Source organism: Homo sapiens, chromosome 15 (genome assembly GCF_000001405.40).
Source record: "Homo sapiens chromosome 15, GRCh38.p14 Primary Assembly".
Classification (NCBI taxonomy): Eukaryota; Metazoa; Chordata; class Mammalia; order Primates; family Hominidae; genus Homo; species Homo sapiens.
The window spans coordinates 69,075,235-69,102,653 of NC_000015.10; the positions used below are offsets into that span (position 1 = coordinate 69,075,235).

Here is a 27,419-nt window from a genome sequence, read left to right on the forward strand (position 1 = left end):
CTGTTTTGCTTACAGGTATGGTCCCAGAACCTAGCATGTGGACTGACACACCCTTTGCTCAAAAAAATACATCAATATTTGAAATTAACCATTTATCCATAGCAAAACACATAGCACAGAATAAAAATGCATAGTCCATTCTGGCCTATGCAGTTTCAGCTTCTCAGCATTTATTGAGCACCTCCAAATGTGCTAGACAGGTAATACTCAATACACATTAGTTCCCTCCATGCTAAAATAGACTTTGCGTCCACGTAACTTTGCTGGAAACTTGAGGGAAACCAATTATCCTGCCCTTTCCCTGGGTGTCTGATCGGCATGTCCGTTATAGCCATAGAAATATCACTAACAGGCAATGCCAGCAGGATTAGATCTGCCAAGTGTTTAAAGTTTAGCAAGAAAGCTTTTTGCAAATGTCAACACTACCACTCTGTTTCCTGCAAACCAGCATTCTAATCAGCAGGGCTGCCTTTTCCAGCTCATTGAGCAATGACATAAAAAAATCCCAGCATAATCATTTCTCTAGGAGAAAAATACCGAAAGTCAGAGAGGATGCAATAACAATCATAGCTACCTACTATGTGCAGGTGTCATGCTTACTGCTTTAGTTATGCTTCCTCCAATCCTCACAACAAAACTGACAAATGGGGAAACTGAGGCTTACAGAAGTCACACATCTCCAACTAAGGCCTGAACTTGAGTTTTTTCCATAGCACTCTACTACCTCTGGGGGGGAAAAAAAAACTACTATTGTGCCCAGTTAGGATACAATGTATTAGAGTGGTAGGGACTTCAGGGGCTGGTTGTAGGAAAAGAGAATGACAATGCTTCTCACGCCAGGGTTTTCTGGGGTTTTCATCTTCTTGTTTTCCTCTCCTTCTCCCCTCAGAGGCCAGGTGTAGTGACATAATGATTTTGGAAATTTTTGAGCTGAAAAAGGAAAACATTTTCTTCTTTTCTTAAAAGGGGAACTGTTGGAGTGTTTGCATTTTGGGTTCCTGGCATAGCAGCTGGTAGGCTTGATGGGATTTCAAAATGAAGTTACTAATGGAAATTATACACTGAGGACATTCCAAAGAAACTGCTAAGAGAGAATGGCTTGTGCTAGGTGAGTGGAAGTGTTGCATCAGGTTATCACAGCTGGGTATTGAGGCCAGGCCCAGCTGAAATGTTACAGCAGGGGTCACCTCTCAGACTTGGCTCTGTACAGGAAACACATCCAAGGAGGAGCTACATCCAAGGCAAAGGTATAAAGCCAGACGCAGAAGACACAGTACCTGGGTTAGCTGCCCATCTGTCCCTGGGTGTAGGCTAAAGACATTTAATCTTGGACACAGGCAAGCAGCTGCATACAAGATCCTGATTCCTGATTCCTGAGCAGGAGTGGGCAGCAAGTTGTTAATTCTGACCTCCAACCATCCCTGAGGCAGTGTAGCCCTCCATTCTCAACCCTGGCTGCCCACTAGCATCATCTGGTGAGCTTTGAAATACAGATGCAGGACTCATCCCAGATGGGTGAAATCAGAAGTGATGGGAAAGGGATCCAGTGTCACATATCTTCACAGCTCTCCATGTGATTCTAGCTTGCAGCCAAAGTTCAAAAGTTCTGACACAGCCTAGGTGATCACAAGAATTACTGGAGCACTCCCTAGAATAGTTTTGCCCCAGCCTCTCTGCTGTAGATCTTAATTCAGTGGAGCTGGCAGGGGCCCAAGAATCTGTATTTTGAACAAGCTCCCTGGCAGTTGTTATGATCAGATAAGCCTGGGGACCCACAAGTGTAATAAAATGGTATATTCACATATCATCATTGCAGTCACAGCTTCTGAAATATTATGTTTTTAATTTGTATGTACATCATTGTATCTCAACCATCATTCGATTGTAAGCTCCAAGAGGGAAAGGACCTTGTCTCATTCACTGGGATGTTCTCAGTATGGAAAAGAATGCAAGCAAGTGGTGGGGATTCTGCAGATATTTGTTGAATAAATAAATGAATTTCTGTTTTGTATTTGTCACTTCCGCTTTGTGAACCAAGTTAAGAGTGAGATTGAGGGCCGGGCGCAGTGGCTCAAGCCTGTAATCCCAGCACTTTGGGAGGCCGAGGCGGGTGGATCATGAGGTCAGGAGATCGAGACCATCCTGGCTAACACGGTGAAACCCTGTCTCTACTAAAAAATACAAAAAATTAGCCGGGCGCGGTGGCGGGCGCCTGTAGTCCCAGCTATTCGGGAGGCTGAGGCAGGAGAATGGCGTGAACCAGGGAGGCGGAGCTTGCAGTGAGCCGAGATTGCGCCACTGCACTCCAGCCTGGGGGACAGAGTGAGACTCTGTCTCAAAAAAAAAAAAAAAAAGAGTGAGATTGAAACTTTGAAAGAAAATACAAATGTATACAATAATTTTATTTCACTTTTATAGATCTAAAGTCCTGCTTTTAAAAACACAAAGATTTCTTCTATATGGAACTTGATTGCCTTCATTCAGTCATTGAGAGTCTTCAGGAGATCTGAAGACCCAGAGCAAACCAGAAATGTTGACGGGGAAAAATGTGCAGAAATGTCTGAGAGTAAACCCCCTGTCCTTAAACAAATTTTTCTTCTGAAATTTTCTGCTTCATTGTAAGTTTTATGTCACCAGTTAAGTAGGGCCTAGGCAGAAAAAGATACAAAGTATTTTCAGAAAAGTTGATGAAACTGCATCCATTTATTCATGCACATTCAGAAAATGTTTATCGTGGAACTACCATTTTTCCAGTAAGTGCCAGTGGGAGCCCAATGAAAAATAACACACAGTCCTGCCCTCAACGACTAGCTTTCCCAGCAAGTGGAAAGCTAGCTATGGAACTAGGCAGTTACAGTACAGTGTGATAACACCGGTCATCAAACCCAAGATGCCTTCTGTTGTAAGATGCATCATTGGCCAGGCGCAGTGGCTCACGCCTGTAATCCCAAAACTTTGGGAGGCCAAGGCGGGTGGATCACGAGGTCAGGAGATCGAGACCATCCTGGCTAACACAGTGAAACCCCGTCTGTACTAAAAATACAAAAAATTAGCCGGGCGTGGTGGCGGGCACCTGTAGTCCTGGTTACTCTGGAGGCTGAGGCAGGAGAATGGCGTGAACCCAGGAGGCAGAGGTTGCAGTGAGCTGAGATCGCGCCACTGCACTCCAGCCTGGGCAACAGAGCGAGACTCTGTCTCAAAAAAAAAAAAAAAAAAGATGCATCATTAATTTATGCACCACTAAGAAAAATGCTGCCAATTGAACCGTGACGTGTTGTGGATTTTATCAAGATCTGTTCTAATTTCAGAGATGTGAAAATGTAACGGGGTGGTAGGGAGGTGAGGAATGTGCATTTTATTTTATTTATTTATTTTGAGAGACAGGGTCTGTCTTTGTCACTCACACAGGCTGGAGTGTAGTGGTGCAATCTCAGCTCACTGCGGCCTCAACCTCGTGGGCTCAAGTGATCCTCCCACCTCCTGAGTAGATGGGACTATAGGCATGAGCCACCATGCCCGGATTTTTTTTTTTAACTTTTTTTTTTGTTGTTGTTGAGACAAGGTCTCATTCTGTTGCTGCCCAGGCTGGAGTGCAGTGGCTCGATCTCAGCTCACTGCAACCTTTGCCTGCCAGGCTCAGGCAATCCTCTTATCTCAACCTCCCTAGTAGCTGGGACTACAGGTACATGCCACCACGCCCAGCTAATTTTTTTTTTTTTTTTTTTGGTAGAGACAGGGTTTCGCCATGTTGCCCGGGCTGGCCTCAAACTCCTGAGCTCAAGCGATCCACCTGCCTCAGCCTCCCAAAGTGCTAGGATTACAGACATAAGCCACTGCACTCAACCATAATTTTTTTTAAACTTTTTGTAAAGACGATGTCTCACTATGTTGCCCAGGCTAGTCTCGAACTCTTGGGCTCATGCAGTCCTCCCACTCTGACCTACCAAAATGCTGCAATTACAGGCATGAGCTACTGCGCCTGGCCAGAACATGCATTTTAGAACTGATTAAATAAGTAAGGTAAATCAGACACGAAGGATATACAGAATAAGCCAAAGAGTAGGGTGTAGGGTGTAGGGAGACTTGGAAGAAGGAAAGTACTGTGAAGAGGGGACAGCTTGTGCTGAGAGGTCTGGAGGGAAGAGGGTGGCTGCTTATAGCTCAGTAAGACTGCAGTTAGAGCCTGTGGGCTGGAAGGTGACAGATGAGGCTGGAGATGGAAACAAGGGCCAGATCATGGCCTGCCTCATAAGTAGATGGCCTTAGTCCCAGTTTACATCTGTAGTGCATCTTTTTGATCTTAAGTGCCCTGTTGGACAATAAATTATATGATCACCCTACTAATAAGCCATTTTTAGATATGTGCTTTTTATCTTAAGAGAAATGAGAACAATGGAAGGGTTTTAAACAGACAGTAACAAAATCAGATTGTGAAAGTGTGTGTGTGTTGGAGGCAGGGTGTGTATTGCTTAATTTGAATGTTTTTGATGAGCTAATATGTTCATACAAGTCAAAACTTTAAAAAACACAAAAGTGAAAAATCTCCCTTCCACCCTGGCCCTCCTTCCACCCCTTCCACCCTACCTCACGGCCAACCCAATTTTCTTCCCTAAAAGCAACTGATACTATCAATTTCTTGTGTGCCCTTTCAGAATTTTGTTTTCCTTTTCTTTGAGATGGAGTCTCACTCTGTTTCCTAAGCTGGAGTACAGTGGCGCGATTTCGGCTCACTGCAACCTCCACCTCCCAGATTCAAGTCATTTTCCTGCCTCAGCCTCCCCGTAGCTGGGACTACAGGTGTGTGTCAGCGCGCCAGCTAATTTTTGTATTTTTAATAGAGACGGGGTTTCACCATGTTGGCCAGGCTGGTCTTGAACTCCTGACTTCTAGCGATCCGCCTGCCTCGGCCTCCCAAAGTGCTGGGAATACAGGCGTGAGCCACCATGCCCGGCCCCTTTCAGACATATTTAATGCATATAAAATTAATTCTTCTTTGCCTTTCAAATGTACCTATTGTTTTCTAATTCTTTATTTTCATTTAGTTTGCCTCCTTTTCTTATTCCTCTCACTATCTCTCATTGAGTTTCCACAGTATGTGTTCCCCTTTTACTGCTTCAGATTTGAGGCTTCATTTTTTAAGAGTGAAGGTTGGATAGTTTTCTTTTTTTCTTTCACTTCTTCCCCAAGCTCTGGCAGCTCAGGATTCATTTCCTCCCACTGTTTCATTACCTCTTCCCTCATCTCTCATGTGCGTGTTTTCTTTGTGGGGGAAATTACTTTGCTATGTTTTCTTAATTTTCTCGTTAAAATTGTCATCTGCTCCATGACAATGTTTTTTGATGAATCTTCTTTACCTGCTGTTTGCTGTTTGCTTTTTCTTTTTTCCTCCTTTGTTTCTTGTCAAAACTTTGTATATATTACTCATTATTGAAGAAGGTAATGTTTTTTCTTCCCCGTGGACCTCAGGTGTGAGAGAGGCCAAGATTGTCTTCCAGGTTGGCTAAATTTTCCTTATGACCCAGGGTTGATGTAAATTCACTGAGCCTTGAATTCTTTCCAACCAATGGCAAAGATTCCCCGAGGCAAAGTCTCTCCTCCCCTGTTGCCACAGAAACAGACCATTTCCTACAACTATGGCTTGTCTGAGTCCTGAGCCAGCAGAGCTCAGGCCACAGCACCTGCACCCGTTTTCTGCTGCTGCACACAAGGGCTCTGTGCATTCCGCATCCAGGTGTGCCCCTCCTCTTCTGGAGGATTCTTTTTCAGGCTGTCCCAGAGACTTTGCAGCACAGCATCCTTGCTCTATTTCTTCCTGCAACATCTCTGCTGAAGCTCTATTGCTTTTGGCAACTCTTCCGTCTATTTTGTGGTTTAGGTGTCTCCTACTTTTACTAAAAATGGAATTTGTGTTTTTATCGCTCAAGTCCTTTTTGCTTTTGGATTACTTCCAGAAAATGAAGGGAGGGTTACTAACTTTATGCCATCTTCAAACCAGAAGATCTTAGATTAGTAAGATCATGTTGGCCATGGCATGGAGAATGGGCTGGAGGTGGAGAGACTGGAGGTTGGAAGTCCAGTTAGGAGATTGCTCCTGCGCTGGGGAGTTGGTGTTAGGACAGAAGATCCAAGACGCGTTTCAGAGGTAACTGCTGAATCTTACTGGCTGGTTAGATGTGTGTTTGGGAGTGGGGGTGGATCAGGAAGAAACGGGATATTTCAGGGCTGGCTGCTGGAGGCTGCTTGCGATGTAACGTGGAGCTGGGCTTCCTGCCTGTTCTGCAGCTTCCTGCCACATTCCAGGCTGCATCTGTGTGGCTGGGCCCTCTGGGAAGGTCATAGGGAGTCCTAATGGGACAATGAGCTTCCCAGCCGTTCCCTTGAAGGTCCCTTGCAGATATCTGGATGAAACTCTTGGCTGGTGGAAACTTTCAAGAAGGCCTGAGGCAGTCAGAAGCCAAGTTGTGGTTTCAAAATTACCGGCCTATTCTCCAAGTCTCCCTGATGATGAGATCTCAAGATAAAAACAAGAAAACTGGGCGCAAAATGCTCTGTGGAACTGTTGATATCCCAGGGTTTCCTGCCAAGTCCTGGCTAAGGAACACAGGGAGGGAAAGGGGACCTAACAGAGGTCATAGAACCCACTCTCTGCCTCCATAGAGGCTTTCCAGGTCATCCAAACTACGAAAATTGAACAGAGAGCTTTCTCTCTCAGATTCTCCAGAGGGGGGAGACTCAGATTCTTTTCTTTAATCAGTCTGTAATAAGTCCTGAGTACTGGCTTTTTCCCCCCCTTAATGTACAACCAGGGTTGAGAACTGAGGGCTACACAATCTCAGAGATGATCAGAATTCAAAGTTAGGAATGTGCTGGCTCCACGTCTGTCCACTCTTGTGCAGTAACACAGCTGCCTGCCTGTGTCCAGGATGAAATGTCTTCAGTTCTGTTCCCTGGGATAGACTGACAGCTGTGGAAACAATGACCCAGATACTGTGTCTCCTCCTAGGATATGTTTCTTGACTCCGCTTATGTGGTTACTGCCAAACCTGGCCTCAGTGCCTTCTACACACAGTTTTGAAAACCAGGGCAATATTTCCAATCATCTAACAGAAGCTGCTCCTTATCAGTGATGTCTTTGGAAAGTTACCAGCAATTACTAAGCTAGCTATTGGGAAATCTTAAGGATTTATTTTAGCAAGAATAATATGAGGTCTTCTGGTCTGTAAGGACCTCTGTTCCTAAAATCACAGAACCACGGCTGTGCTCTACAATGTAATAGTATGAATTCATTTGCAAGCGTGCTCAGATAAGATAGAGTCTTTAGGGAGTTTTAAAAAAACTTGGGGGGCAGTGCTTATGATATTGTGAAAAACAAACACAAAAACTGTAATTTCGTGTACGTTAAAAATATGTGATCAAGTGAAAAGAGACTTCTTACCCTGCCTTCCCCAGGATTCCACACCCACCACTATTTCCTTTCTGAGTGATTACAAGAGTCGGTAACTTGAGTACAATATGCTGTTTTGTCAAGTTAATAAAGGATATCTTGTCATCTGACCTTGGACAGAGAGGATGTAAATGTTCTCTTGGGCTAATAAGGTCAGAGTGTTTGCTCACAGGAAATAGAGTTATGAGTAGAGTAATAGGAGGAATATCAATTTCTTATGTGGGCCAAATATTATTTCTGTAGTTGTATTTTCTTTCCTGGAAAAGATTAGTTTTTAGAGGATGAGATATGTTTTATTTTAGACGAGTGCTTCATTGAGTGAAGCAGCTACAGTTTAAGCAGAAGTCCTCCTTTCCCCACCTCCTGCCTTGCACCTCAGGGAGCCCCTTCTCCCCACACCTTTCTTCTCAGAGATCTCACCTCTTCTCTCCTGAAGCAGTAGCTACTGAGGAGAAAGAGGTGAAAAGCTAGAGAGGCAACAGGAAGAGGGGAGATGGGGAAGAGATCCATGCAGGAGACCTTGTGTGGGTCCGTGGGACTTCATGAGATACCTGCCTCCACCCTCCCATTTCCCCCAATAGGACTCCAATTCTGTGAGGCCTGAAGACAGTCTCCTTTTCTTTTTCTCTTTCTTTCCTTTCCTTTCTTTTCTTTCTTCTTCTTCTTGTTCTTTTTTTTTTTTTGACGGAGTCTCACTTTGTTGCCCAGGCTAGAGTGCAGTGGCACAATCTCGACTCACTGCAACCTCCGCCTCCTGGGTTCAAGCGATTCTCCTGCCTCAGACTCTCAAGTAGCTGGGATTACAGGCACCCACCACCACACCCAGCTAATTTTTGTATTTTTAGTAGAAACAGGGTTTCACCATATTGACCAGGCTGGTCTCAAACTCCTGGCCTCAAGTGATCTGCCCACCTTGGCCTCCCAAAGTGCTGAGATTACAGGTATGAGCTACCACACCTGGCCCACTCTCTTGTTTTCATTCAATGACAAAGTGAAACCTCCCTTAAGGTCTGAGTTACTGCAGAGGAAGGCTTTCCGGCTGCCTCCTTGGTTGGGGTGAGCCAAAGCAGCTCCGTCATTGGCAGCCACTGGGTATGGGAAGCAGCCATCCATTAAGGGACAAGCTACCTGGAGGTAGGGAGGCTGATCTCCTAACGCACCCTCCCTAGAAAACTGCAGAAAGAAGCCTACTGCAGGAGTTGCAAATATATATGCATAGAATAAAGACTAGGAGAAAAATAGTCTAAAATATTAAGCATGCTTCCCTCTGGGTAGCTGAATTGTGGATATCATATTTTCTTGCTTCTTTAAATTGTCAAACTTTCAGTAATAGGAAGTATGAGCTATTTTTATAATCAGGAGGGGAAAAGGTTCCCTGGCCAACTCAGGGAGGACATAAGGCTGGAGGTTTCGGAGTAAGAGGCCAGAGGCAGATTCACAGGGGTGAGGACACAGTGGCAGTGAACATCTCAGACTGGACGGGACCTTGAGAGGTCATCTAGCCCATCCTCCTGCCTTCCGGATGTATCTGAATAAGACCAATATCTGAACCCTCTCCCCCCACCATGTCAGAACTGCTCCTTGCCTTCCTTGCCCTTCCACTCCCAGCAGAATGCCAAAAGAGGTTTGACTTCGTGCTAATTATTCTTACTTCTTTCCTGCTTTCAGTGTTCTGCTAAATAGAAAATAGGGCACTAATGGCTGGATGGAAAATAGGGCATGATCTTCCCACAAAGTCTTTGCTCAACCACCTGCCTATAGCCAGTGTCCTCTTGGAAAGCCCAGTCATCCAAGGAAAGAGAAGTCAAGCTGAGTCCCAGGGAGGGGGAGACCTTGGGGAAGAGGACCTCAGGGAAGAGGAAGAACAGGAGAGCATTTCTACAGGAATGTGCAAGGAGAGCTGGGGCCTGCAGAGAAGCACTGACTCCTTGTCTTCTTTTTTCCTTCCTTCCTTCCTTCCTTCCTTCTTTCCCCTTCCTTCCTTCTTTCCCGTTCCTTCCTTCCCTCCCTCCTTCCTTCCTTCCTTTCTCCTTCCTTCCTTCCTTCCTTCCTTCTTTCCTTCCTTCCTTCCTTCCTTCCTTCCTTCCTCTTTCCCTCTCTAATCACATATGAAGTGCTGTGCCAGGCAGATTGTGTAAGATAAAACAACAACAAAGCTTGAGATGTGGTCTCTGGCTTCCAGGAGCCTATAGCCTGGTGAGGAGGTACCACCCAGCTGCGAGAGTTAATTTTCTGGCACAGGTACTTGATTTTCATAAATTGCCCTCATGCCAGATATATGTGTTGGGGGCAGGGAGAGGATAAGAAACAAACCTTGTGATGTGATAACCTTGAAGAGCAGGGATGTCACTTTTTAGGAGGCTTAAATCACACCAAGTGTAGAAGGTTCCAGACTTTCAGAGGTGAGGGGACAGCTACAATTTGCAGCAATACTACCAACCCTTCCCCCAACATACCCTTCTCCCCTTCTTCCCTGAAAAATGATCCCCAAATATGTCCATGTCCTAATCCCTGGAATTTATGAATATGATAACTTACATGCCAAAAGTGTCTTTGCTATTGTGATTAAATTAAAGGTGTTGAGATGGGGAGGTTGCCCTGGATTATCTGGGTGGGCCCAGTGTAATCACAAGGGTCCTTATAAGAGGGAGCTAGGAGGCTCAGAGAAGACATGAGGGTGTAAACAGAGGTCACACAGGGAAGAAAAGGCCACTTTGCTGCTGCTTTTGAAGACGGAGGAGGTGACCACAAACCAAGGTGGTCTGTATAAGCTGGAAAAGGCTCCCCAGAGCCACCAGGGGAATGCAGCCCTGCCCACCCACTTTAGAGCTCTGACCTCCTGAACTGTAAGACAATAAATGAGTTGTTTAAAGCCACTAAGTTTGTGGTAATTTGTCACAGTAGCAGTAGGTAGCTCATACAGTCTTCTCTTCTCCTCTCTGTGATCCTTGTGTGGCTAAAAAGGAGAAATGCTAATATTTATTAGAAGTTACAGCAGTGAAAAACAGAGAAAACGTATTTCTAACATATAAACTTGACCACAAACTTATTAATTTACAAAAAGTTTGATAAGAAAACAACCAAATGCCAAATTTTTAAATGAGCAAAGAATATGAACACGTAGAGTTCAGGAAAAGAACAGTGGATTGCTTTGTGCTAAAATGGGAAGCTTCTCTCACACATGTTAGAGTGAAAGGAGTGAGCTGCAGAATACCCAGGGGGTACTCTCTCCATTCATGTCAAAAACAAAATAGAGTCATATCTATAGGATTTTACACGCTCGTTTTTGCTGGAAAGAATCACAAGAAAATATTAGCAAAGATTGCCTTTGGGAGAGGAATAGAGGGGAATGGTATTTAATTTTTAAAACTTTCCTGATGTTTGAATTTTTTAACCTTATACTTGGGTTTGTTAATGTCAACAAAAGCTATCTGACCAGGGAGATTTTGACTCATTTTTTTTTGTGTTTTTCTTGGTGCCTCTTTGTCTTTAAAAAAAAAAAAAATCCAATTAGCATTATATAAGGTGGGTCACACAGGGAGAAATCTTCCAGAGTCTACCATGGCATATACTATATGCACTAAAATTCTTGCAAACAGGAAGACTGGGCTGTCCTGTGAGGTTACTATTCAAGCTTTAACGGGGGGCCAGTGTCAAAAGAAGTATGACAAATCCCCAGCCCTCTATAGTCCTGGTTTCTCTCAGGATGGTTACCAAGGCCCTCGGAGCTAAAGATGATTGTGTCACCAGCCTGGTACCTCTAGGGCTTTGGGGAGAACAGATCTGCATCAGGAGGGGAAAAGGGGTTTGTCACTCACTAACCATTCAACGTTGGGTAAGTAGGGACTTTTCTAGGCTTTTGTCTGCATCTGGCAAAATGGGAGTGGTGAGGGTGTTTGTTCTCAGGGTTACTATGAGGCTTAAATAAGATCATGCTGTGGGATGCCCAGCATGGCCACGGGCCCAAGCCAGAACATGACAAAACCAAGTCTTCTCCTCCTTTCTTATGTTTATTTCTAAGCCTGTCGAGGACTGAAGGAGGCCCTTGTTCAGCAGAAGAGAGGTAAGAGCAAGTCTTTGTCTATAAAAACCCAGAAGCCTGATACAGAAGAGCAAAAACACACAGCCACAGGTCTATTCCCACATATGTGTGTTTGCCACCGGTTTGCCCTCTCTACCGAGTCACAGAAGAATATTAAAGTTTGTGAGCCCTTTAAAGCCAAACAGGCACATTTTTCCTTCTCCCCGACGGACATTTTAATGTCACTGCAGTAGCTGAAGTCTTAGGTGTCGTTAACCCACGTGCCTACCTCCCATGACCAGGGTGGGGGAAGAACAAGCACGCTTTGTTCCCGAAGCACCGGTTGCGACGTGCTGGTTTTCTGAGAGCAGTTGGACTTTTAGTTGCTCCAGGTGGTAACTGGGGTCAAATGCACTGAGCTTAAGGGAAAAGCTGAACATTTGGAATCCCAAAATGTGGAGATTCAAAGGCTCTTTAAGAATCCTTTCCTCTGATGGACAGTGCCTGTCAGGAGCTGTCCTGCACCCCTGGCCGGAGCTGGGCAGCCCTCTGCCCGATGAGCTTTGAATGAGGAAGGACCAGTCTCTGCCAGGCCAGCGCCAGTTGTCTGAGGAAGCTCCTGCTTCCCTAGGCCTTTGGAGATACTGACTTTTTCCCAAGAAGAATCTTCTTGCCCTTTCCCCTCTCATTCACAGGTTGATTTGTTCATCTGCACATTTCTGTGGGAGTCTTTAAGCACCAGGCGCTGTCCTGAGCTCTTGTCAGTGTGGCAGTGATGAGGATATCGACCCTGCCCTCAGGGCCAGGCCACTCTGGTGGCCAGGGGAGCAGTTAAGAGGCTCCGCAGCACAGGGGAGGGGGCTTTGGCTAAAATAGAAAGCATCAGTCAAGCAGAACTTCACGGAGCACCTAACAGAGGCTGGGGGAAGGAAGAGAAAGAAGTAGATGGATTCCAGGGATTTATGGCCTGGGGCTTGATTAAATTTGAGGGAGTGAGAGAGGAAGGGATCAAGGGTGATCAGATTTCCAGCTCAGGGGCAACAGTGACAATATAGAAGGGGAAGGAATTTTGGAGCAGGGTCATTGGGAGGAGTGAGAATGAATCAGGCTTTAGACATGTTGGGTGTCAGGCCCCTGTGGGAGGTCAGAATGGAAAGTCCTGCAGGCAGTGGATATATGGTTTCATGGTACAAGAGAAATATCGGAACTGGAGACATGAGTTCAGGAGTCAGCAATGCATGAGTGGTCAAGGAGGGCAGAAGAGGGTGAGATGATGGCTCAGGAGGGAGACCAGGACAGCACTGTGAAGGCCCTATCCTCAAAGGATGGGGACAGAGGAGCCTCCAAATCTAGAGGACGAATCCTAGAGAGTAAGGAGAATGCACACACAGTGTGGCATCGGATTCACCCTTATCCAGATCCCATGTTCTCAGGGCAATTTCCTCTGGGAAAGCAGCCTTCCTCCCTTGCCTTCCGTGTGGATGAGGATGGTGGATCCTTAGCCAGTTGTGGATCCCAGCCCCACGCCCCCTTCATTGGTTTTGGGATGGCTGTATGACCCCTCAGAGCCAATGTGCAGCGAGGAGGCATGGATGTGAGTGAGGGGAGGAAAGGCAGGCTATTGTGGGAAGGAGAGACTCCCCCTCAGGTGGGAGAGAGTAAGGTAGAGATGTGAAGTCAGGCACCAACACAGCCATTTACAATTGTGAGGGAAAGCTTGGAGTTACTGGGGGTCCGCTAAGTGAAGCCTGCAGGTGAGGCCGGTATTGTAGACGGCAGGACGGAGAGAAATCAGGTCGTAGATAACATTGTTTGAGCCACAAGATCAAGCTTCACCTGAGCCAAACCTCCCTCTGGGCTTTTCAGTTATGCAAGTCAATAACTTCCCTTTCCCGTTTAAACGGTCTCAGCTGAGGTTTTGTTTGTTTTGCTACTCGCAATACAGAGTCCTAATAAATGCACAACCTGAAGAAGAGACCTCCTGGGGTCAGTGGGCAGAATGGGGTGGGAGGGGAGGTGTCAGGATTTAAGAAACTTTGACACATCTGTGTCCCTGAATCACTGTCACCTGCAGAGCCACAACAGGTTTTCGATTTTGCAATCTCTTTACAGTGTTTTTCTTCTCCTGCGGTATCACTTCTCTGGCAATACAATTAACATGATTCCAAAGTTGCTTACTCACTAAAAATGAGATGTAGTTGGAAAATAGGTTATCCTCCCCTTCTCCTTATGTTGCCTGCCCAGATGCTGAAGGGCTGTCTTTATACACCAGGGTCAATGGTATGTAATGGTGTGTCTCTCCCTATTCAGATCCATCTTCCATACCATGGCCAAGTGGGCTCTCTAAAATGCACATCTCTGCTTAAAAAACACTCATACTTACAAAACTGAGCCAGGCATAGTGGTGCACACCTGTAGTCCCAGCTACTTGGGAGGCTGAGGTGGGAGGATCACCTGAGCTCAGGAAATGGAGGCTGCAGTAAGCTGTGATTGAGCCACTGTACTCCAGCCCAGGCAACAGAGTGAGACCCTGTCTCCAAAAACTAAAAAAAAAATAAAAATTAAAAAAAAACCACTTATACTTCCCATGGCCTGCAGGAAGAGATCACAGACCCCTTAGGATGGCATATATAATCACACACATGTTCTAGATCCTGGGTGGCCTTCCTGCATCAGCAACCCTCCTATGATCCTCAGACAGCACTGCTGTGTGAACTCCAGCTGTGCGATTGTGCCATGCCCCCCCAGGTCTCTGGGCCTGCGTTCCTATCTCCCCTCTGCTTGGAAAGGTAATTCACAACAATAGCTCACACTGACGGGGCACATCCTGTGTTTCAGGTGCTCCACTGGAGGCTGCAGGTGGATTATCTTGTTTAATCCTCACAACTTCCTAATGAGGTAGCGCTGGTATTAACCCCTCCACCCTGCCACAGTGTCACTCGGCTAAACAACTCAGATTTGGGGGAATATGCTAGAGAAGCACATAGGAGTTCTGGGTTGAGGTCTCCCACCGGAGTTAGGGAATGAAGGATCAAATGAAAAAGGTCAGAGGAAATATGATAGTCTAGAGGCCAGGAAGGGGTTTGAAGATGAAGGGAGGAAAACTAGGTGATGAACTGGGGCTGCGTTGCAAGACTGGGCAGCTCCATCTTGGTTGACATTGGGGCTCCTCCCCACGCAAGCAAGGGTCTGAGGGCTTAAGGAACCCACATAGCTCAGGCTAGGTCCTCTGGACTGCGAGCTGCCCTGGACACCATAGATAATGGCTGTTGTCCAGGATTTCCTAGTCCCTGAAGACTGGAGGCTCTGCCATGTCCCTGCCAGGCTTACCTGAGAGTGTGTGTGTGTTTGTGTGTGTGTGTGTGTGTGTGTGTGTTTATAGGGGGGATTATTTGCACCTTTGTTGAGGTTGGGAACCTTGTGTGCCAAGTAGGCGTGACCACCCTAGGGTCCTCACTGCCCACTTCCCTCTAAGGTCTCCCCACCGCCGCCCATCCCTATTGCCTGTCTGCCCCTTTTTCTGGTGAGGAGAAGCTCCCCAAATCCCTTCTTCAGCTACTTCCCTCTCACCTGCTCCAAGCCCTCCCTCTCTCAGACAATTCAGCATAATTCCCCTGAAAACGTGTTTTTACAAAACAAAAGCCAGGAAGGGGAGGAGGTGTGTTCTGGGGTGCTTGGCAACAGCAGCCTGTGCAGCCAGCGGCTTGGCTGGATGATGTGGCTCACCCAGCAACACAAAATCCTCTGAGAACAGAACTCACAGAGGCTGGGCTCTCTCCCACACTGGGGAGGGGAGTGTCTGCAGCTGGAAGAGCAAACTGCATGCAATTGCCTCCAGGTTTCCCCATCCCATGTGTAATGACATCTTCATTTGATTAATGACTGTCTTCTGCATTCACCACTGAGTGTAAACTGTATAAAGACAGGGTTTTGTGTCTGTTCTGGTCACTGTGGCCTTAGTACAGAGTCCAGCACACAGTAGGTGCTCAAGAAATGTTTGTGGAGGAGGGAGCGAGGGAGGGAAGAAAGGAAGGAAGGAAGAAGGGAAGGGAAGGGAAAGGAAGGGAAGGGAGAGAAGGGGAGGGGAAGTGAGGGGAAGGGAAGGAGAGAGGGAGGGAGGGAGGGGAGGAAGGGAAGTGAAACAGTTTGAAGGAGGTGATGGGCAGGATAAGAGGAGCATCTGTAATTTCACCTTTCTCCGCCTCCTTTTCTCAGAGCCCCTCTTCTTGGGCCTGCGATTCCTCACCTGGAAGGGAGAAGAGTGGACTTCCTGCCTAGAGAACACCTTGGTAAACTCTTTGTGGTTCCTGTCATGAGAAGGTGTGCAGCTTAGGGAAAAAGCCTGTGAGCTCTGGAATCAGATGGAACTGGATATGAATTTCCATTTAGTGCTTGTTGGATTAAATGTGATGCTAGTAAGTACACTTGCCTAGTTGCTGCTCAAGAAATGGAGCTATTATTATTTACATCATAATTTGAACTTCATTCATTCAACCCATACCGATGAGCAGCCACAGGCCCTCCTTCCACAGGGCTTACCTTCAGAAAGTTCCACGTGTCCCTTACTTTCTGGTAGGCACATTCATGGGCACGTACCATGCTAAGGACCAGGGACCTGGAGATGAAGACAGTCCTGTCCACTGAGGGGTTCACATCTTTCCATAAAACGTTCTGACCCCCCTGTTTCTTTCTTCTCATCTCCTCCTCCAATCCCCCCTGGGCTGGGGCACCTCCTCTGCACTGTCCCTCTGGAAGCAGAGAGGAGTTTCCAACCTCCTCCAGTCCCCTGCCAGGTATCCTGAGCCTGAGAGCTCCTCAGAGCATTGTCTGCAGTTACCTCCTCACTTACAGCCCAGACTGAGATACTCACACTTGTGATTGCCCAGGTGGAGGGGAGAGGTCAAACTCTTCCCATGGCCTCCTTTCTCCTCTGTGAAAACTCCAGATCTTTGCTCCTGATTTTTTTTTAGTGTGTACCCTTTTGTATTTCAGCTTCTCCCAGCCGAAAGAATAAAACTGGTAAGAGGAAGGGAAATGCAGCCTCAGTAAGGAGGCCTCCATTCTGGAAGGGCTTCCCAGGCCCAGAGAAGGGAGAAAGTAATTTGGAACCACCCAAGTATTGGTGATGCCAGGCCTCACCCTACCCTGGGGATATTTGAATCTCAAAAAGGGAGCATGGGAATCTGACAAAGCACTTGCATGTATAAAGAACTCCTCCAAATCAACAAGGCAAAAACCTCATTAGATACATAGGCAAAAACCTCAGAAGAGCCACATCACAAAGGAGCACCTCCAAATGGCCAAGAAGCATATGAAAATATGTTCAATCTCATTAGCCAACAGGGAATTCAAATTAGAACTACACCAGGATGGCTGAAAGTGCAAAGACTGACAATATCAAGGGCTGGTGGGGATGCAGAACAACTGGAACTCTCCTATGCACTGCGGAAGGGGTAAATTAATACCGCCCCTTTGGAAGAACAGTTTAGAAGCATCACTAAAGCTGAATATATTCATGCCTACTCCGGAAATCCTGAGCCCAGGTATATATCTAACAGAAGTTTGTTTATAAAGGCACCAAAAGTCAATTACACAAGATACAAGAATGTTCATAGTAGAGCCGTTTGTATTAGTCATAAACTGGAAACCACCCAAATGCCCATCAGTGGTGAGTAGATAAATAAAGTGGGGGTAATTTAGACAATGAAAATGTGTATAGCAATGAGAATGAATAGAGCACTGTCACCTGCAACAACATGAACAAATCTCACGAAGGTGATGTTGAGTGAAAGAAGCCAGATACGTAAGACAGCACGCTCTGACGCCATTAATTTCAAGTTTGAAAACATGTAAGCCTTAAGTCTGTGGTGTTAAGAAGTCAGGACAGGGGTTGCCTTTGAGAAGGAGTGGGGCAAAAAGGGACTCTGGGAGTGCTGGTAAAATTCTGTTTCCTGATCTGGTGACAGTTATAGGCTATGTTCACTTTGCAGAGATTTATGTTGTACATAATTGGTTAAGTTTTGCATCTTTCTGTATGCATGTTATACTTCAACAAAAAAGAAGTTTACTTGAAAAGGAGGCAAGTAGAGCTGGGCATTGTGGCTCACACCTGTAATCCTAACACTTTGGGAGGCTGAGGCAGGAGGATCACTTGAGCCCAGGAGTTTGAGACTAGTCTGGGCAACATAAAAATATTTTTTTAAAGAAAATTACCTGTGTACAGTAGTGTGCACCTCTAGTCCCAGCTAGTCAGAGGCTGAGGTGAGAGGATCGCTGGAGCCCAGGTAGAGGGTGCAGTGAGCTGTGATCGCACTGCTGCCTCCAGCCTGGGCGACAGATGGAGACCCTGTCTTTAAAAGAAATTAAATTAAAAATAAAAAGAGGACAGTAGGGGGAAAGCAGTATGGAAAGACAATGCTCAGCCCAAAGGGGTGAGTAGGGGACTCTGCGACTGTGTTTACTGGAATTTAGAGACAGTCTCTGGGAGGGAATGGAAGGGAAGGAAGCAGGTGGGGCAGAGGGAGAGGTGGGGTTTCAGTGCAGGCCAGCCACAGCCTCTCCAATCCCTCAATCCCTTGTAGGAGTCCTGCAGCTAGATGAGTTCCTCAGAGTCATCATGACTTGGGCTGTGATGGCCACACCTTTATACCCCAGCATTGGTCAGTCACTGAATGTGCACTGCCCAGGAAGAGGAGGGATCTCAGGCCTGGCTGCGCTCTGCAGCTGAGGCCGTCTGAAAGGGGCTGGCCTGACTATAGCTCTCCCAGCATGTCCCTCCTTGAAGTGGATCTGGGCGACCACCACAGGAAGCCTGCCACCTGAGTTTAGAAGATTTGGTGGCCTGTAAAGATTTTTTTTCAGATCCCTCAGTCCCAGCATTCCTAGTCTGGTTAAACTCGTCCAGCGGTGCCCAGCACTCATAGGACCTGCTTTGCATCATAGCCTGCAGACAGGCTTCCCACACAGGATCCAATGCCTGGACACACCAGAGGTCTTTGCAGTTTGCCTCTCACACCTCAGCCAAAGCCTCTCCTTGGCCTGGACTCATTTGGTGAAATCCAGCTATCCTGTAAGACTTGAGAGTCACCTCCTCCAGGAAGCTCTCCCAGATCTTGCCCCTTCTACCAGGAAGGCTGGGCCCTTGCTCTTCTGAGTCCCCTCCAAGCACCCTAGCACCCTGCCTTTTATAAAACTCTCATCACACTCTTTGTTTACCTGCTGGTAGAAGTAGACTGAGATCAAGAGATGCCTTGTCACTCCTGATCACTGACACTGCACAACAGTGACAACAATTCTGATGGCTGCCATGTACTGAGCTTTTCCAGCCAGGCTGGCATTTGCTGTGCACATCCATGCCTGAATTTACTAAATCCCAACAACCAACCAACCCTGTGAGGTCAGAGTAGCTACCTTATAAAGCAGGCATGATTGCCCACAATCACACAGCCACTAACTATCAGAGTTAGCACACACGTGGGAGTCAGTTTGAAGTCCTGGTATCCTCTGGAAATGGTGGTCGGGGAAGGAGGGGAGAAAAGGGAAGGGAGGGGTGGGGAAGGAAAGAGAGGGAAAAAGGAAGGAAGAAGGAGCGAGAGAAGAAGAGAGAAAGGAAGGGAGGGAGGGAGGGAAAGAAGGAAGGAAAGAAGGAAGAAAGGAAGGAAGGAAAGAAGGAAGGAAAGGAGGTAGGGCTTTCCATCCATGGCCCTGAGGACTATCAGAGTCCTCAGGCCCATTGGAAGCTGTTTCACATTTGAAGAGGGACTCATGAAACTATGGCAAGCTGCTGAGTGGGAGAGGGCAGTCCCCCAGCCCCTCCCTGAGCCCCGCCCATCTCTGTGTTTCCAGAACCTCTTGCTCTCCCTGGGATCCTGGCCTGGGGAAATGCAGTCCTCAAATCAAAGCCTGCCTGTGGGAGCAGGTTCATGGGCCAGATCTAGAGCAGGGGCAGGCTTAGTTCACAGTTTTAATCCTGATGTTTACTTTCTTTCTTTCCATTCCTAGTGGCTCCCTTTGAAGAACTGCCTTGGGGTTCATGTTGCAGCATCAAACAGGGATGGAAGATGCATCTTGCTTTAGCAGCAGGAGCCTGGAAAGCAGCTGAAGCCCTGGAGGGTGCCTGGCACACAGAATCTTGTGCTGAGCCCGGAGCACAATGGGAGCGGGCTGGCGGGGTGGGTTCACAGCTGGACTGGGAGCAGCAGACATACAGGCCGTAGGCACAGACATATAAAGACAGTCATGCAGATTGCAGGATGCCTGAGAGCACAGACTCTCACATGCACAAATACGTGCATGATCGCCAGTGTGCATCCAGACAGCCCCACATGCATGCACACGCATGCACACATGTGATGTGTACATAGATGGACACATGTCTATGCCCACAAACACTGCAGAGACACAGAAGTGTCTGGCAAGGAACACTATTTTGTCCTCAATTTTCTGCCAGTGAGAGTCTACTGACTCCATCTCTGAAATGTCTCTACTTATTGTCCCTCTTCTCCACCTGCACCACATCCCTAGTCCCTGAAACTCCCACCGAGACCCCTGGGCAATAGCAAAGTCTGCACAGGATTCCTGCTCCGCCTCTACCCCACCCTTAAGCCCATCCTACATGCAAGAGCAGGAGTTATCTGGGTATCAAGCAAATCTGACCACATCACCTCCCCACTGCTTAAAACCCTTTCCTACAGGATGAAGTTGAAATCACTTGACATCCCATATAAGGCCCTTGACTGTCTGGCATCAGCCATAGTCTGGCCTCAGGCCCTGGCATGGAGTCCCCTGGACTCAGTGCTCTGGCTGAGGGCCTCCAGGATGAAGATACCCTGTGCAAAGCCTCACACTTTTGCTGTTGCTGGGCTCACTGTGTGAAATTCCCTCCTCCCTCCTTCCACCTTCCCTATGCTGAACTGCCACTCCTCCATCCTCCATGGCCAGCTAAGCCAACACCTCCCCACTTCCTCCTGACAACCCAGGCACAGCCACTGACCTGTCCCATGGCTGTCACAGCCCTTTCTTGGGCTCTCAATGGTATCATTGTCACCTGTGTGCTCATGAGCCTCTGCCACTCAACTCCAAGCACATCAAATAAAGAGCTCAAAACATATCGGATACTCAACAAATTTCTGGGTATGAGTGAATGAATGAATTAGTCTGTAAGACAGGATCACACTAGGTGATTGTTCTGGCTACAGAACCTGGGCATGTCCTATATGTAACTCCTATGATCTCAGCCTCCACATAGGTAAAAAAGGGCTCTCTATCTCCTGGCAGAATCTATGGTTCAGACCATGGAGATGTATATAAATAACTGAGCTGAACGGCTAACATGGTGGGCGCTCCACAGATGACAGCCATAGTTACTGTCTTTAACTTCTACTTTTATTTCCAGTGAAGTCTTTCCACTCATGTTTCTTAATTCTCCATCTCCCTCACTGCCTATCCAGTTCAGTGCTGGACTCCTGGAACCAGCTCATTGAAGGTGCATTGTCGGATTGATCAGCTGAATGGCTTCTTAAGGCTTGTTTCCAACCTGAGAACTCTGAGCTGAGTACTGTTCTTCCTCCCTCCCAGCCTCCCCTGAGACTGAAAGCTGAGAGCCATACAGAGATCACTCCTCTTCCAGGCTCCAGAAGCTGAACATCTGCTCCGTTTGGAGTTCTATGCACTGAGCTGAGTTAGGACCTGGGGGGACAGGAACAGCTGAGCCTTTCTGCTCCAAAAGGCAGAGTCATTTCAGCCAGCCACCCAGCAGCTGCCTAGCCCCTCCCAGACACCCCCAGGGATGCTGCACATGTGGCTAGGGTTCCCATAGGAACCTCTGTGGAGACCTGCCATCCCTGCTTCCCCACATCTCCTTTTGGACTCGTGAGAGAGGTTAGGAGGAGGAGGGGAGGGGAAAGGACAGGACTGCCAGGCACTTTCATACACAAACACCCAGTCTCTTAATCCTCACAATAACTCTAAGAAATATGCTATTGTTATCCTTGTGGTACTGACAAGGAAATTGAGGCCCAAAGACATCTAACCCAAGTTCACCCAGGTAACAAACAAGAGAACTGGTCTGCCACCTTATCAGTTTGTACTGACACAGTATCAGTCAGTACCAGCCAGGGATCTCTGGTTGCAAGCCACAGAAACCAACTCCCACTATCACAAGCAAAAAAATTGCTGAAGGACTGTGGTGCCACACCAGAAGGAAAGGAAAAGCTGAAGACACATGATTGGAAAGGACAGGAAGAAGGGCAGCGTCAGGATCTGGGTGCCAGGAACGGACCATCATTTCATTGGAATAAATAAACTTCTATTTTTAAATTCTTTTGTCTCTCCATTTAGGATTCAGGTTTGGGGAGGAAGCTGGGCCCAGTGCCACTTGTTGGCTGGAAGAGGACAGACTACTGTAATTGACAGTCCTACCAAGCCTATATTCAATGGGATAGGGACTGCCCCTCCCTCCAAATTGGGATGCTGTTTCCAGAAGAAAGGGGAATGAATCCTAGGCAGGCGGAATCCCAAGCTCACCTGACTGCACCATGCTGTGATGGGCTGCAGGGTGGGACAGTTTCTATGGCTCTCTCTAACGGAACTAGACCCACTCAGGAGGCAGCAGTGGTTAGAAGATGGGTACTGGGAAGAAGGAAGCTGGAAGTGATGGTCTTCGTTTTTATGGGAACAAAATGCATTTACATCTCAATGTTAACCACCCTGTTAACTGACCTCTCACATCCCAATACTATCTCTCTCTTTTTCTCTTTACCCAGTATTGAATTCCCAGGATCCCAGAGAATTATTAGTCACCAGCCTTGATTGGTAGAAAGAGTCCTAGTCACCTTCTAATATTCTATATGATTTACTTTTGTTAATTGTTCTTTTTTTGTATAGACGGGTCTCACTATGTTGCCCAGGCTGATCTCAAACTCCTGTTCTCAAGCGATCCTCCTACCCCAGCTTCCCAAAGTGCTGGCATTCAAGGTATGAGCCACCATACCTAGCCCATGTTGTTTATTGCATGACTCCCCTGTCCCCTGTCCCCTTTAGAGTGTAAGATCCAGGAGGGCAGTGATTTTCTCCTGTTTGTTCACTGCTGTCTCCCCAATGCCTAAAAGAAGTGACTGGCACAGAGCAGGTGCTCAATAAATATTTGCTGAATGAATGAGGAGGTACCAATCTCTTCAACAGGCATTTGGGATGCAATGATGAACCAGAAGACAGATCCTGACCTCATGGAATTTATAGCTTCCATGACTTTAGTGAGACAGAAACAATTACAAAAACATGTAGCAAAAGAACAAAACTAAAATAATGAAAAATTGTGAAATATATTTTGAAGGAAACACACAAAGGTTTTAAAAAACAGAACTAAGAGGGTAGGAAACTACTTAAGATATGGCAGTCACAGAAGGAAAGAAGGCCTCTCTCAAGCAACTTTTAAATGGAGACCTGAAGGGTGAGAAGGTGCTGACCACAAAAAGTGTGAGGGCCGCTTCTTCCAGGCAGAGGAAAGAGTATGTACAAAGGCCCTGAGGCTGGAAATAACTTGGTATGTCTGAGGAGCTGGACTGTGAAGGCCAGTGTGGTTGGAGCTTAGTAAGCAAGGGCTAGAGGCCTACAGGCTGAGGATGGAGAGTGTGCCAGGCGCTGGGTTGACAGCCCCTTACAGGCGATGGCATGGAGCTTGGATGGCATTCTGGATACATTGGGAAGCTATCAAATGGTTTTTAACATTCGTGCTTGACCCCATTTGCATTTCAAGCTGATCATTCTGGCTACTGGGTGGAGAATGCATGGAGCTAGGGAGTGGGGGACCAGTTCGTAGGCAACTGTGGTGGTCCAGACTGGGGCTGAACTCAGGTGGCCAAGGCTCAGAGGACAGTGGAAACTTTTGAGTCACTTCTCAGTTATAGTCTCCATGACAGGTGCTATCATCAGGCTGGATGGTATCACCCTCCAGGGGCCACAAAGGCACCCCCCCTTACCAGCCCACTCCCAGCCTGTGGGTGATGGATAGACCAACTCATGGTCTGGCTAGGCCCTGGGCCTAAATGACAGGTGACGGATGGGGTTGGAACTAAACGCTCTGAGCCATGTGGCCAATGCACTGTTCCAAGGAAGACTTTGGAGGCAGGAGTTAATTTAAAGAAAGGAGTAGGGGAGCTCAATATCGCTTCCTCCACTGCTCAATTAGTGGAGAGAGCTGCAGGGAGCTGGAATTGTAAAGACCCCCTTAATCATCTCTGTCTGCCTGGCAGCGTGCAGGAGTGTGGCAGGGATAATTGCACCTACCCATTAACAAATGCAATTAAGGCGCCTGGGCCTCTAGCACCCCCTTCTCCAATTAAACAGCAGATGAGGGGCCCGTGGGGGTGGGCTTTAAGATGAATCACTTGAAGCTGGAAACTTGGAGCCTGGAAGTCTGGACAGAGAGGCGATTAGAGATGATAAAATCGTGATGGGGAAGGAGAGACTCATATCCAATACCGGCCTGCTCCAGCTTGAGGCCCAACCCACAGTTGGGCAGATATTCTTTGGGACAAATTAGAAGAAGTTCTGCTTCACACATAAGAAAGTCAATATTTAGAACCCACCAACAACCACTTCCAGCCAAGTGCTTCCCCTTTGCCAAGGACACACTCACTGAGTGTCTAGATACAGGTGAAGACCTGAATAATTCATTTTGATGAGAAACCGTGAGGTCTGGGTATGTTGGCAGGGAGGGTCCAGGAAGGCACGTTCTTGTCCTGTGAAGGGGGATGGGGGTGGAGGAAGGGGACTTCCATTTGTGGGCACCTCTAATATGCCAGGCCTTGTGCTCCCTCCCTTTCCATATGGCATATCCTTTAATTTAATCCAGATCCCACCAGCCTCACACAACAACCACGATCTCTTCATTGCAGTGATGGAATAGAAGTTTGGAGAGCTCAAGAACCTTGTCTAAGATCACATAATTAGCAGGTGGTGGAGCTGGTGGAGCTGGGATTTGAACCCTGGTCTATGTGGCTTCCAATAGGCCACTCCCCTATGCTGAGATGCTTTGAAATTGCAACTGTCAAGATCTTGCCCCTTGTGCATTTTGATGCCCCCATGAGGGTGGACTCAGGGCAACATTTCAGATGTTATTCCCAAATCTCTCCCTGCTCCCCTTGGCTGAATCCCTGAACTTCTGAAACAAGGCCTGTCTGTGGTTCCTGTTGTGGCCTTGAGGTAGGATTTGACAAGTTGTCAAGTCCCGAGGTGCTGACCAACATGCTCATCTCAAGCTGAAATAATAAAATAAAAAATCTCTCCTACCTTAATTGCCTCTCCCTATTCTCTTTATGCGTTTCACCAATTACAAATGCTATGAATCATTATGCATGTGTGGATCATCACTTTCATTTAGCATCTCCACCGAAGCTCCAGGTGCTGAAGTGCATAATTGAAAAGCTCCACGATTTAAGTTTGCAAAGAGGAGGCTCAGCTCCTCTGAACGTCACAGTGTGCAGGTCTCCCCTGCTGGGGCCTAGACAGCAGCCAGGAGGTGACAGCCTGCATCTGCCCGAGAACCCAGCCACACCAAATGAGTGCTGAAGTAGTTCTGCTTTTGCCCAGGGGAGCTCAGGCAGTGAGTAATATGTTTCTAAATTCCCAATTCCCCCATCTTATTTCCTTGGGAACTTTGCTTTTTTATTATTTTTTATTTTATTTTATTTTATTTTGTTGCTACTGTTTTCCTCTGTGGCTTCAGAGAGCAACAAAAGTCACTGGGTTGCCATCTGCTAGTTAACCCCTTCCTTCAAGACCTTCCTGAGCTAACTCCAGGACACCTGTTCCTTTCTGCAGCCTACATTCTTCCTGAGTGTAGGGCTCTCCCAGGTCTGCCTCACTCACTTCTGACTCCATAAAAGCTCCCATAAGATGGAAGGAGAAAGGGGCAGAGATGACCAGCTGCAGCTTGGCCCAGGTGAGGAATGAGCTGCCTGTCTTTAACAGCAGCTAGGCTCTATCCTAGCTGCCAGAGGGAGGGCTGTGTCTTCTCCTGCACCCCCATAACCTCTATGACATTGCTGGGCATTTAGACATGGCCATGGAGTCCTTCCTCTCTCCTCCCCTCCTTTCTTTCCCAAGCATTTCCCAAATGTCTACTATGAGTCTGCCTAAGTCCAGGGGCTGAGGACTGAGCAATAAATAAACCTGCTCCCTGTCCAGTAGGAGAGACACTCCAGTAAGAAACATATAGTAATAAATACAATGTGAGAAGTTTTTCCATAGATGGAGGAGCAAAGACTTCTCTCTGGGAGCAGGGAGGAGGGAATACTGATTCAGCTGGGAGAGGCAGGCATTTGCATTCAGTCTTGAAGGCTGAATAGGGCAGGGTAGGCACAGTGATTCCAGGTACGGGAAAAGCCTAAGCCAAGTAAAGAAAGGCACAAAAGACATGGCATGTTCCATGCCACCTGGGCCCTGCTGCTTCCAGGGCCCTCGAATCATCAGAGTTTCATAGAGCCAGCCCCAAAGGGGAGGATGGCTCTACCCCCTCAGATGTCAGCCCCTTGAGCCAGATGGGAGCGCTCAAGGGCTCGGACACATGCCCCTCCACTTCTAGTTAGGTTGGAGTGGAGGTGGGGAGGCCACAAGACACCTGGACTGAGGCCAGCATTCCAGATTCAGGGAGTGCCCTTGGCACACACATCTTGGATGACAACCTACTTCTAGCATAGTCTGGCCAAAAGTAAGGATGCGAATGCACGCACGTATACACACACAAAAACACATACACACACAGAAGCTGTGGGCACAGCTCCCTGGACCATCTCACTGCCACCCTCCTGCCCTTCCATGAGCAGGTTCCCCTTCACACCAAACTGAGCACCACCAATCACCTGATGCCAAACAGATGGCGGGAAAGAGTTCTTGCTCTGAGTGGGGATGGCGGCAAGGTCACTGCTGATGCGTGAGGGGCTGGGCTGCAGGGCAGTGAAAAATCAATGGATCACTTCCCTCTCGTCACTTTTCTGCCACAGATTGAGCTGAAAGATAGTTCAGCTTGGAGCTGAGAAGCAAAGTCTGTAAGGTTTACTCTCTCATACCTTTTTATTTTCCCTCTTCTTTTCACTTTCTCAATTTTCAACCTCCATTCACTCTTCTCTTTCTCCTCTACTCCATCTTCTCTTTCCTTTGGTGCGGGGAGGAATGGGGATGATGAGGGGACTATGGGTGATGGGAAAAAAGAAAAGCAGCCCCTGTCATTTAGAAGCTGGCCTGACCCTTGCAGCTAAGCCATGCTATTCTCCTCTTGGATCTAAACAATCTCACAGCATACCAGCCTCAGACAGATTAACTCCGAGGCCAAGATAAAATGAAATGAAGCAAGGTGACTTCATAATTTTACCTAAGGTCAGACAAGAATGAGGTCACTCTGCCACCCACAAAATACCAAGTAGCCCCTCTCTTGGCCAAGATGAATGACTGCTACTTCTTTTCTATTTCAACTTTATCTTCATTCTAGTCTTTCCCATAGTCCCTAGAGATGAGATTTATTGAGATACCCAATCATAGAATTGCCCCTGCTTACTGACAGCATCCAATCTAGAGTAACCTTCACTTCCTTGGACCCCTTCCCAAGTTGTCCCATCAAAGCCAAGATTCTATAATCAATTCTAATATCCTCTCTTGGAGAGAACACACCCCATGGTTTCCCATGCTGTGCCTTCTCCCTCTCTGCAGTAAGCGATAAACCCAACTGGTTTAACTGTGTTCCTGGCAGTCTTTGGTAAATTACAGGACACTGGCAAAATTGGAGGTCCCACCAAGATTCACCTGAGACTTTCATAGCTTTAACCAGGACCCTGACTCAGTAACAGTTCACATATCGTGGAGGGGCGGGCCTCAGGCACTGGTATGTTTTAAAGCTCTGTAGGTAATTTTAAAAGGCAACCTGGGTTGGGAGTTGGTGGGGAACAAGTTGCTTTAAGA

General features: G+C 47.2%; 2 long non-coding RNA genes across 2 annotated transcripts, besides 3 other annotated features; both read left to right on the plus strand.

The window, feature by feature from the left end:
* Positions 1–5,615: 5,615 nt before the first annotated feature.
* EWSAT1 (Ewing sarcoma associated transcript 1) lies at positions 5,616–20,590 on the plus strand. The gene is made up of 4 exons (NR_026949.1): positions 5,616–6,142; positions 15,681–15,880; positions 16,458–17,133; positions 19,467–20,590. It is a non-coding gene; the product is annotated as an Ewing sarcoma associated transcript 1 (long non-coding RNA).
* Positions 11,110–11,704: an enhancer, noted in NCBI's record as "OCT4-NANOG-H3K27ac-H3K4me1 hESC enhancer chr15:69378684-69379278 (GRCh37/hg19 assembly coordinates)". NCBI's record gives its function as "activates a minimal SCP1, AML or CMV promoter by ChIP-STARR-seq in naive H9 embryonic stem cells {active_cell/tissue: H9 hESC(naive)}" and the evidence as "EXISTENCE:reporter gene assay evidence [ECO:0000049][PMID:30033119]".
* Positions 14,457–14,958: an enhancer, noted in NCBI's record as "H3K27ac hESC enhancer chr15:69382031-69382532 (GRCh37/hg19 assembly coordinates)". NCBI's record gives its function as "activates a minimal SCP1, AML or CMV promoter by ChIP-STARR-seq in primed H9 embryonic stem cells {active_cell/tissue: H9 hESC(primed)}" and the evidence as "EXISTENCE:reporter gene assay evidence [ECO:0000049][PMID:30033119]".
* Positions 18,199–18,699: an enhancer, noted in NCBI's record as "H3K4me1 hESC enhancer chr15:69385773-69386273 (GRCh37/hg19 assembly coordinates)". NCBI's record gives its function as "activates a minimal SCP1, AML or CMV promoter by ChIP-STARR-seq in primed H9 embryonic stem cells {active_cell/tissue: H9 hESC(primed)}" and the evidence as "EXISTENCE:reporter gene assay evidence [ECO:0000049][PMID:30033119]".
* A 1,759-nt stretch (positions 20,591–22,349) lies between the features above and the next one.
* LOC124903516 (uncharacterized) lies at positions 22,350–24,760 on the plus strand. Its single transcript, XR_007064693.1, has 2 exons — positions 22,350–22,439; positions 24,362–24,760. It is a non-coding gene; the product is annotated as an uncharacterized LOC124903516 (long non-coding RNA).
* The last annotated feature ends 2,659 nt before the right edge of the window (positions 24,761–27,419 follow it).